Below are 11200 nucleotides of genomic sequence, written 5' to 3' on the forward strand. Positions count from 1 at the left end.
CTGGTTTCATACATTACTCCACAGAGTTGTTGAAGACCCCTGCCTGGCCTGGCTGGCTCAGGGCCTCCTTCTGTTTGCCTGACATTCTACACTTAATGCTGTGACAAGCATGAAGCCATTAAAAGGTATAACGTGTTGGAATGTCAGTCTCCACACTAGTCTGTGCACTCCTTGAGAGGGAGAACAGTACTTGACTCACCCGTGCACAATGCCTAGTATTAGAGTAGTTCTCTTTAAATGTTGCCAACTGACTGATAAAAGAAAAGTGGGGATGAAGAGAGGGAGGTAGGAAGGGAGAAAGGAAAGAAATTAAAGAAAAATGGGCTACAATCTGGCCCAGTAATTTCCCCCAAGGACCTGGAGACTACTGTGCCCTCATGTTTTAACTCTTCCATGTAATGGTGTGTGAGGTTGCTAGTGGTGGCAGTGTTGTAGAGAGACTTCAGGAGAGACAGGTGGGCACTTGGTGGGCAGAGACTCCACTCACTGGGTATGGGACAAGGCCTTCCTTGGTCTAAGGCTTTATGGTAGATCCCAGAGGCTCCTGGCAATGCCAGGGAAATTGGCAATGGCCCTGCACCATTTGGGCAGTGGGCGACTCCTCCTGCATATGGGGTGCTCTAGGGGCCTTTGATCTTGATCGTTAGGGTGTGCCTGCCTTTCACTTCCCATCAGAATCACCACTGGGCCCATGCCAAACTTGCTTTCATGCTACTGACAAAAAGCCATTTTGGAAGGGACATTCTTGTGTAAGAAAATCATTTTTGAGCAGGAGCAGATATTAACCTAATGTTCAACGTGTTATTCTTTCAAGCTCTTTTTCAAACATAAAAAACAAAATCTTTGCCATGACGTGCTAGAGCATTACAGCTTTGTAGATTTCTTTTTCTTTTATTTTTTAGAAATGTACCACAGATCCTGCTGAAGAAGCCAGTGGGAGAACATTCTCCTCATTTCTCTGGTGCTGCCGCCAGAGAATTAGAGGCCTGGCCTGGAGTTTACACAGCATTTTTCTGGCCAACTTGTGAGCTGTTCAGAGTGAGGGAAGTATCCATGTAACGTTGCTGGAAAATAGAGACATATTGAACATGCAAGACATGCTCCCTTCACTAGTGTGGAAAGTCACAGGGCAGGGGTGGCTCCTCAGAGCCTGCTCACTACTGAGAGATGTGCAGGATCCCGATGCTGGGCCCCACCCCACCCTCATGCTTCGCTCCCTTCTGACCCAGTACCTGTTTTCCAGATGTCAGGGCAAGGCTGCAGAGGAAGACAGGGACATAGGCCGAATCATCCTTCCCTCGGAGGAGAGTCATAGGCTGAATCATCCTTCTCTCAGAGGAGAGTCAGGATGACCTCATGCACGGCTAGTACCTCCCTAGTCGGCTTGTTCTCACAGGGGAAAATTGAACCCTCACCTTGGGCAGGTCCATCTGCTGCAGATGTTTATAGGGTTCTTACAGTGAACTCAGCTTCTCATGACCTGAGCTGGGTGCTGGCACCCTGTCTATCTCAGCATCAAGTAGTCCTTGCTTTACCTTCAAAAGGCTGCATTTCTTCATGGGCCTCAAGGCCAGCTCCAGAAGACACAGGCAGACAAGGAGGACAGCAGTGCTGGGACCTGGGGAGCTCCGGAAGGGACTCTGGTCCCATCGGTGCATTCATGGTACCCCCTTCTCTCGGCAGGGCTGGACTTCCTGCTGGATTGACCTCACAAGAGGATAGACAGAGGAGAGGGCATCACCTACAGATGGCCCTGCTGACAGTCCATGAGCTGATAGCTCATCAGTTGCTTTTCTTAGGGCCAGACTTTCCCATGACTTGGCATTTTTATTCATCTTTAATTCTGAGGGTTCAGACTACACAAGAGGGAGGCACACTGATGCCAAAGAAAGAGAATAGGATTTTTTAACAGACAACTTTGGTGCAAGTCCCAGCAGAACTGTTTATGATTTTGAGCAAGTGCTTTAACCTCCCTGGGACTCATTCCACTTGCCTGACTCACTGGGTCATTTTAAGTGAGACAATGCATATAAAAGCACATCATGAAGAGCAACATATCACACATGCTCATTAAAGACTTATTGGGCCCATTTATTGAGTATTTCTTCTATGTCAGGCCCTGAGCTAGGCACTGGGCATAGACACTTCATATACAGCACACATTCAAAGCATTCTCAGGGCACAACTTTTGTCAGTATGATTAATAATAAACATTTGAAGGCAGGCAAACCAGCAATGATGGTGAGGATGCCGGTTACATGAGGCCCCTGAAAGGCAGGGTGTGAGGGCAGCCATTTCTTGTTAGTGGTCTGGAGAAACTACAAATACTGATGGCCCCTGGGATAGGATCTGGTCCATGGGAGGTGGGTACTCCCTGGTTTTGAAGCTTCTATGTTCCTACTTTCTCTCTCCAGATTTTTTCCTCTTGAAATCTTCCTAGATTTTTAATACATTCTGTTTGGAATCTCCTACTTTTGGACACCCACTGTACTTTGATAACTTGGCTCCTGGGTATAGGACAGGCTCACAGTTTCTTGTCTGAAATCCTGTGGCTTGATGTGCTTCAGAAATCATTTTTGGGTTTTAGAAAAGTAACATGGTCTATATTTTTCATATTAAGTAACACCCTTAGCAGGGTTTGGACATCACCCTCAATCAAACACGGAAATATTTCTGCAGCAAAACCTAAAACTATTTTCTACTAAGTGAAATAAATAAACAGTGAGTTGTGGTAAAACTAGATTTCTTAGGTTTTCAGTGTTGGAGTTGTGCATAAGGAACTGTGGAACTGCAATAGCTCAGTCCATGGACTCAGTAAATATGTTTCTTCTTGCCTTCAGGTCCAGACAGTTTTAATGTTTCTATATTTTAATAATTTAATGTATGTCCAGCTTGGTCTCACAGAGGATATAAGGCATTTGGGGCCCACTGCCACAGTTCAAGCCAGAGAGGGCCCACCACTTGAATGTACTAAAAAAGTGTACTAAAAGAAGAAAAAGGAAAAAGAAAAAAAGACCACTCATGGCAAAGTCACAAAATAACCTTCTTTCCCATGCTAGTGGGATTAACATAGCTCATGATCACAGGAGCTCCTCTTGGCTGCCATTTCCTCACTCCTCGTGACTCACTCCTTCAGTCACTTATTTACTTATTAAATTACTCATTCATTTTTTATTCCTTCCTTCATTGATTCATGTAATCATTCATTTAATAAATATATGTTTAGTAACCAATCTGTGCCAAACCCAAGGCTAGATCCTGGGAAAAGAAAAACAAGTGGGACACATCCTTGCCCTCTGCAGCTCTCAGTCACGCTGGGGAGACCAACAGGAAGCCAACTATGGTGTGCTTCAAAACAGAATGAAATTGGAGAGGGGGATCCAAGCAAAGGGTCCCGGCAGACAGATGAAGAAGGTGGTTGTGGAAAGCTTCATGGAGAGAGACCCTTGCCTGGCCCTGAAGAACTGCTGTATTTAAATGGATACGAAAGTCAGGGCAATGAATGGGGTAGGTGATTGTTCCAGACCGGGGGAAATGCACAGACATGGAGAGTTTAAAGCCATGGCATAGCTGTGGTATATTAGAGAGCAGGCTATCAGGGATAACTGCAGTAGCTGTTAATCGTCCTAGCTATGTTTATGAGAAAGGGATAGTTCAACAATCAGGTAGGGGGACATCCCTACTCTCCCTTCCAGGAACATTCTCCCTTTAGAGAATGTTAAGATTTATTCACAAATGGTATCTCTTAGAGCCAAAAGACACCTCAAGTAGTTGCTATGTGGTCCTGCCCTGGCTTCAAGTAGGTATTAGACCTCCTTTGCTAACAAAAATTCCAAAGGCAGGAGGTGGAGGGAGAATGGAGCTGGACCATCTTAACTTCCCAGGACAGTTGTCAAATCAAACCTGTGATTTGGGAGACTTCAGGGTGAGGTGGATAGAGTATTGTTTTGGATTCTGATTCTAGCTCTGCTGCCTTTCAGCTGTGAGATCTCAGGCAACTTTTACCCCTAGTCTAACCTCAGATAAGTTGTCAAAGAACACAGTTGAAATTATGAGCAAATATCCAGGCAAATAGGATGTACTCAAGGATTGTTCCAGATGTTAAATCCATGACAACAGAAATTGTTATCTATTGCATCTACTGCTAATTCCCCAAGATCCACAATAGATTGGTGTGTAGTAACAGATCAACAGCTATCTGTGGAATGAATGAAAGACTCCTCTTCTCACCTTTCCATGGCTGGTACATTCATTCACTGGAGCCTCTTTAGCTGTTTACAGTTACTTCCACATTCTTAATTTCATTTGCATCTTTTGATTTTGAAGTGTGAACATGACCACACCGTAAGACAGGCTGGTGTTACAGAAAAAGATTCATGATATATTTACTGACAGGGCTCAGACCAGGAGTTGGATGGACCCATTATCAATTCACAAAAGTTCAACTACATTCGACTACTTCAAGGAGAAAAATTATGTAAAGCAATAATCACGATTATCAAGAGAAAAAAATTGTGAATTGTGAGCAACCTGGGGACAAAAACTCAAACTTGTTTTATCTTCAGTTCCTGACACAGCAACTCATAGGCATTAAGAACTCAGTGAATATTGAATGGAAGAACAAACCAAGAAATGAATGAAGGAGTGAGTGAACGAGTGACTATATTAAGCATTAGTTAATAAGAGATGAGGAAAAGGAAGCTGTCATTGAGTGTCCACTGTGTGTCAAATTCTGTGCTAATTGTTTAAATCTATTCATCAATAAAAAGAAATTTCCCATTTGATGAGCCAATATTTTCCTCTTCGTTGATGTATTATCTTTTTCCTTTTATGAGTCTGATATGGTTTGGCTCTGTGTGCCCAACCAAATCTCATCTTGTAGCTCCCATAATTCCCACATGTTGTGGAGGGATCTAGTGGGAGATGATCGAATCATGGGGGCAGGTCTTTTCCGTGTTGTTCTCGTGATAGTGAATGGGCCTTATGAGATCTGATAGTTTTAAAAACAGAAGTTTCTCTGCACAAGCTCTCTCTCTCTTTGCCTGCTGCCATCCATGTAAGACATGACTTGCTCTTTCTTGCCTTCTGCCATGATTGTGAGGCTTCCCAGCCACGTGGAACTGTAAGTCTAATTAAACCTATTTCTTTTGTAAATTCCCCAGCCTCAGGTATGTTTTTATGAGCAGCATGAGAACAGGTTAATACAGAGGCATTTACTGAATTCCCTAAATTTAAAATGGATGTCTTTTTTCCTTGCTAAAGTTTATGAGTGACAAATGAAAGCAAAAAACTTTGGATGAACCACCCATGTAATTCAAAATCTCACTGAAATGACTTAGAAATAGACATTTTTGTTGCTTATTTTGTTATAGTGGAAGGCTAGGATGGAGTAGGCAGTCAAATTATGGCTTAACAGGTTCATGCCAAGTGGGAGGGGAATACACATTCTACAAAATGGGGAGAAGGAAAAATTTGTCTCCCTGTATCCCACTTTCTTAAAAAGAGTCAGTAAATCAATCAACACAGACTTTCTGAGCTGGAACTACAAAGTCATGTTTCTGGCAATCTGTTCTGAACTCTTCTTTGTTCCTCAAAGCTAAAATCCTTTATACTCTCTATTACTTTTTGTGGATTGATGTTTAATTTAAAAATAATAAATTATTAGCACCTTAACAAATATTATTCATGTATATGGAATCTAAATATATAATTTTATTTCTTGGCCTAATACCTATATTTTCTCATAAAACAAAAAAGTATTCCCTACCTCAAACTTACTTTGACCAGAGTCTTGTCATCATCCGTGACCTGGTTATTTATACTTAATGTCGATAGCACAATGGTGCCTTCATGGTATGGAAACCACTGGTTGGAAAGAAATGTTGAAGAGGTGGCCCTCAGCATTCCCATTGGTTAAACTGTGGCCCCCAGTCTCTGACTCTGCCCACACCTCCCAAGCTTTGGGGAGATAGAAAGAACAGTGTCTCACACTCATAATCACAATCTTCCTCCACTTCTCCTTCCTCTTCTGTTGTCAGCTCCCATGCACCGTTGGAAAGTCTTGTGACACAGAAATGAATCCTATCTTGGGAGATATAACATGCAAACAAATAAACAAATAAACATTTTATTTAATATTTATATATGTGTTTTTATTGTTGTTGTTTATACCAATCACTGACATGTATTACAAATGAAGTTGGGTTGCATAATAATTCTGAAAAGCCATTTCTGAAATTGTATTTGATTCCTGTGTACATCAAAAAGATATAAAATATGAATGTCCTTTCACAGATTAGTATCCTAATACCAAAAAGGAATGAAATATCCATGATCTGGGGTAAGGGGTATGCAAGTATGTATAGGCTTGGAGGGTGCCCCAACTGTTCCAGGCTAGATAGGGGTGATAAGCAGAAAGTGTCCTAAGAGAAAAGGAAGGAGTAGGAGGAAGAAGGTTAGAGACATCTCTCTTTGGGCAAATTAGGCTTATCTCATTTAGAAGCAAGCCTTGCTTTGAAAACTATTTGTCAACCCAGGTCTGCAGGCCCAGACCTCCGCCTCACCTCATAACCCTCACACAAGGGCTATTTGGCTCCTACCTGCTCACCCAACTCTATCAGAGGCCCTGGAGACAAACCTGCTCATGGCCAGGGATTTGAGGAACTAAACGACATGGGGTTTGGCATCAGCAAGGGCACCGGAAGTTTCCAATTAATTACATGTACTCCAGTAGCTGAAGTCTTGGTTTGTTAGATGGGTGCTGGCCTTGGATGCCGTCAACTTATCCATTGAATAATTGTTTAGTATCCACTATTGTGCCACCCACTATGCTAGGGCCTGGAAACCCAGTGCAGAACACTAGATGTCTCCTCCCTCAAGCTTAGAGTCTACACAGGGCAGCAGCATCAAGTAGGGAATGACACAGTGGTCATTTAGGTGGAGTTGTGCTAAGTGCAGCAAAGCAGAAGCCCAGCAAGGGGTGAGTGTGCACAACAGGTTGGGAGGGATTCCCCAAGGAAGCAGCATCTCATTCCAAATCTCAGCAACAAGTGGGGTCTCACCAGATGAAGAGTGAGAGGAACAGTGCTCCAGGAAAAGAAAACGGCACTCGTGGGAAGGCCTCAAGCAGGGAAACAAAACAAGCAAGGGTGACAAAGGGTACCATGAGATTGGACACTCAGCCTTGTCCTCCTCTGTATGTACCTCACGGGGAAACATACATTCGTGCACCAAAAATATGCACTCCAATGTTCATAACAGCAGGGTTGGTAATATCTCCAAACCGGAAGCTACCTAAATGTCTATCCATAGAAGAGGAAATAAATGCATTGTGGCACATTGACATTGGAAAACTATGCATCAATGAGAGTGAATGGACCCCAACTATCCACAACAAGATGATGGAGTCTTACAAACATAACAGTGTATACAGGAAAGAAATCAGACTGGATGCACTGCATGACTGTGTCTACAGAAGGTATAAAAATAGAGTAGTGCTTCCCCTTTGGAGGGTTCATGACTAAAAGGCTGTTATGAGGGGTTGTCTAGGTTGCTGCCAATATCCTCTTTCTTGAATCTGTGTGCTGGTTACATGGGTGTGTTCAGTTTAGGAGAATTCATAAAGCTACACACTTGTGATATATACCCTTTAATTTGTGTAGGTTATACTGCAATTAAAGGTTTAAAAAATGATGTTAGACAGACAGGCAGGGACCTAATAGGTCTGATCTAGGTTTTGAAGTCCACCCTACTAGTGCTGCTGACCGGGAACCAGGGGCCTTGCTCTTCTGAAGGTATTTCCAGTTTCCATTACCTGCTTGATTACCTGCCTGCGAGCCTCAGGTCCCACACTGCAAGCTGGCCACAGCCCCACAGATCCACAACCACAGAAGGCATCACCTTCTGTCCAGCTGCCTGCTGTCTAGTTCCCATGCTGTGGTGGCAGCCAGCAGTTTCTCTCAGTACCTGCCTCCGCAGAAGCGCTTCCTGTCAGTACCAGGTATTACACTCCACCTCAGCATCTAAATAAGCAGGATCACTGGGACATGGGGGGTCAGGGGGTGTGCATGTTTGTTCCTATTTCATTTGGCTTAACCTCTAAGATGCAACAGGACATCTCTCACTTAAGTTCTTAGTAAGAATATTTTTAAAACTTATTATCTTATTTGCGTCAATATTTACTCTCTGCATTCGAATCCTTAATTAAGGCTAAGTGCCTATTAGATAAAAAAATAATAATCCCATATTGTTTAAGCTACTTTTAGATGGCTATTATGCTACTTGCTGCCACAGGCATTCTATAATAACATATACATTGTCTTTTCTGCATAGAAACAGCAGCCACTTCCTCTTAGATCCTCTGCCTCCTTGTGCAAGGGGTGGTAGAGTCTCGTGAGGGTGGCGGGAAGCCCAGGCAGGGAGGCAGGACACCTGAGGTCTAACATTCTCTGTAGCACAGTGTCAGACCTTTTCATATTGAAACAATCAAATAAATAAGCTAACAAATGAGTAACTGAAAGAGACAAAAATATACCTGAGTCACGGTAGGCAGTTTATCTAAACTCTCAGGGCTTCAGTTTCCCTAAATGTTAACTTGGAGGGTCACACCAGTTTCGTATTTTCCTCATTTCAATCATTTGCTTCCTCCCGTCTTGATTTTTGCCATATATTCATGTCATCTGAAGGACACTAAGTATTTTATATTTAAACTGATTCCCTTTTTCCAACAAGTTCATTTCATAAGGTAGCTTTATATCACTACATGAAAAATCAGAATCACTTGCAACATAAAGGGACAACTGTCAAAACAAATGCAATGTAAACAGAACAATGTGATTCTATCCTGGCTAGATCTTGTTTTTTTTTTCTCTTTTTCTTTTTCTTTTTTTTTTTTTTTTTTTTTTTTTTTTTTTTTTTTTTTTTTTTTTGAGATGGAGTTTTGCTCTTGTTGCCCAGGTTGGAGTGAAATGGTATGATCTTGGCTCATCGCGTCAATCGCTTGAAGCCTCCACCTCCCGGGTTCAAGCGATTCTCCTGCCTCAGCCTCACGAGTAGCTGGGATTACAGGCATGTGCCACCACGCCCGGCTAGTTTTGTATTTTCAGTAGAGACAGGGTTTCTCCATGTTGATCAGGCTGGTCTCGAACTCCAGACCTCAGGCTAGATCCTGTTTTATGGGAAGGAATGGGCCATCAGCAAGCCCTAAGACCTCATCCTGGATGAGATCAGAAGTTTGAAAAAAAGGGACTTTCTCATCATGCAATACCATTTGATTCCATGCCTTGCCTATGTACCATCTAAAATCACCCTGAAAAGCCTTGGACGGGCTGTCCCACGCCTGAGACACAACCGTCCTATCATTCCCTAGACCTGGTTGGTAAGGAGGAAGGGAAGTAAACACCTGATGAAGAGGGGGATATGTAGAAATATCTTCCTTTGGCTAAGAAAATAATGGAAGACAAACACCTTGCTTGGCTGCCCGTCCCTGCTTTCCTACTTCCCTTCCACACTCATCACTTGAATGGGATCAGCAGAGCAAAGCTGTCCACGATAGTGAGAATGAAGAAAGAGAGGGGCTATGGCCCAGGAGTACAATGTTTACCAGCCTTGCCTGCCCCGGAAGTGGTCCTAGGCCCTCACTCATTCCCCACCCCAGACCCCATCGGGGTCCCAACCCAGAGGTCCTCACAGCATCCAGGCTGCCTTTTGTAGCCTCATCCTGTTCCCAAATCAAAACCAGACCCTTTAGGTCTTTGTATTTTGCTGGATTTTGGCTGGATGGTGGGATCTTTGGGGGGTACTGTTCCCAATCTGTATGGAAGTGAGTTGTGAATGATGAATACCATAGATCATCTTGTTTGTGAATGGCACCTTAATATGCTGAAAGTAATATGAAGCCATATATCTTTCCAGGTGAATACATCCAGGTCCTGAAACAGCTTAATAGACTCTCTCACTCCCTCTAGTTATTGCAGAGGGTCATCAAATGGAGTTCACCAAAAGACGTTATGGCTTTTGACCAAAACTAAGATTTCCTGTCTCTGATTTCCTGTAATTTCAAAGTTATTTCCCTTTTGTCCTGTAAATTGCAAACCCAAATCCCCAAAGCGAAAGAGACCCTATACTTTTGCTTCTTCCATAGCCCTATAATAAATAATTAATATTTTATGGTTTTATGAGGTTGCTTTGCCCTCAGCAATGATTGCAAAACATTGCACTTTCTGTGGATGCTCCTTTAGTTCTCAAGAAAGCCAGCATTGTTAGCCACTTTAACTTTTAATTAAGATGTTCAGAAAAAAATGAAAAGCCTGTAAAAAGTTATGGGCAGCTTATGACTAATATTTCTTGATGCAGGGACTTATTTTTACCTCCATATTAACTCTGAGACATCTATCTGCTTCTTTAACCCATGATTGCCCTCTGATTGCCAGCCAGTCTATGGGTGCCTTCCAGTTGCTTAATTCATCTTAGGAAATCATGTCTGCTTTATTCTTAAAAAAGTGTATTCTTGCATCTGGCCCCCTTCAAGTCATAGAATATATGAGAGAATGTTTTTTTCCTTTTCTCTTGTTTCAGTCATTCTCTAAGTCGGTGTTTTCAAGACGTCTTATGCAGAAAACTAGTCCTAGGATGTTGCAAGGTCAAAATACCTTGAAAAGTGGTACATACTGTATCCTCTTCTTGGAGATTCCCAAGTGTTTTTTGTTTGTTTGTTTGTTTTGTTTTGTTTTGTTTTAAGACTCTGTCACCCAGGCTGGGCTGCTGTGGTGTGATCATGGCTCACTGCAGCCTCAAACTCTTGGGCTCAAGTGATCCTCCCACCTCAGCTGCCCAAGTAGTTGGGATTACAGGCATGAGCCAATGCACCTGGCTGATTCCCAAGCTTTTTAAGATTTTTTCTAAAAAAAAATCTGTGAGTACATAGTAGGTGTATATATTTATGGGGTACATGAGATGTTTTGATACAGACATGCAATGTGAAATAAGCATATCATGAAGAATAGGATATCCATCCCCTTGAGCATTTATCCATTGAGTTGCAACCAATCCAATTACACTCTAAGTTATTTTAAGATGTACAGTTAAGTTATTATTGACTGCAATCTCTCTGTTGTGCATCAGATAGTAGGTCTTATTCCTTCTTTCTAACTAATTTTTGTACCCATTAACCATTTCCACCTCCTCCCAATCCCCCCCACTA

At 42.5% G+C, this 11200-nt stretch overlaps 1 long non-coding RNA gene across 1 annotated transcript, besides 1 other annotated feature; it reads left to right on the forward strand.

The window, feature by feature from the left end:
• Positions 615-1814: an enhancer, noted in NCBI's record as "CDK7 strongly-dependent group 2 enhancer chr2:119144023-119145222 (GRCh37/hg19 assembly coordinates)". NCBI's record gives its function as "activates an origin of replication core promoter dependent on BRD2, BRD4, P300/CBP, MED14 and CDK7 cofactors, with strong dependence on CDK7, by STARR-seq in HCT116 cells {active_cell/tissue: HCT116}" and the evidence as "EXISTENCE:reporter gene assay evidence [ECO:0000049][PMID:35650434]".
• Positions 3274-4784, forward strand: LOC107985815 (uncharacterized). Its single transcript, XR_001739201.1, has 2 exons — positions 3274-3507; positions 4396-4784. It is a non-coding gene; the product is annotated as an uncharacterized LOC107985815 (long non-coding RNA).
• Positions 4785-11200: the final 6416 nt, after the last annotated feature.

Source organism: Homo sapiens, chromosome 2 (genome assembly GCF_000001405.40).
Source record: "Homo sapiens chromosome 2, GRCh38.p14 Primary Assembly".
Classification (NCBI taxonomy): Eukaryota; Metazoa; Chordata; class Mammalia; order Primates; family Hominidae; genus Homo; species Homo sapiens.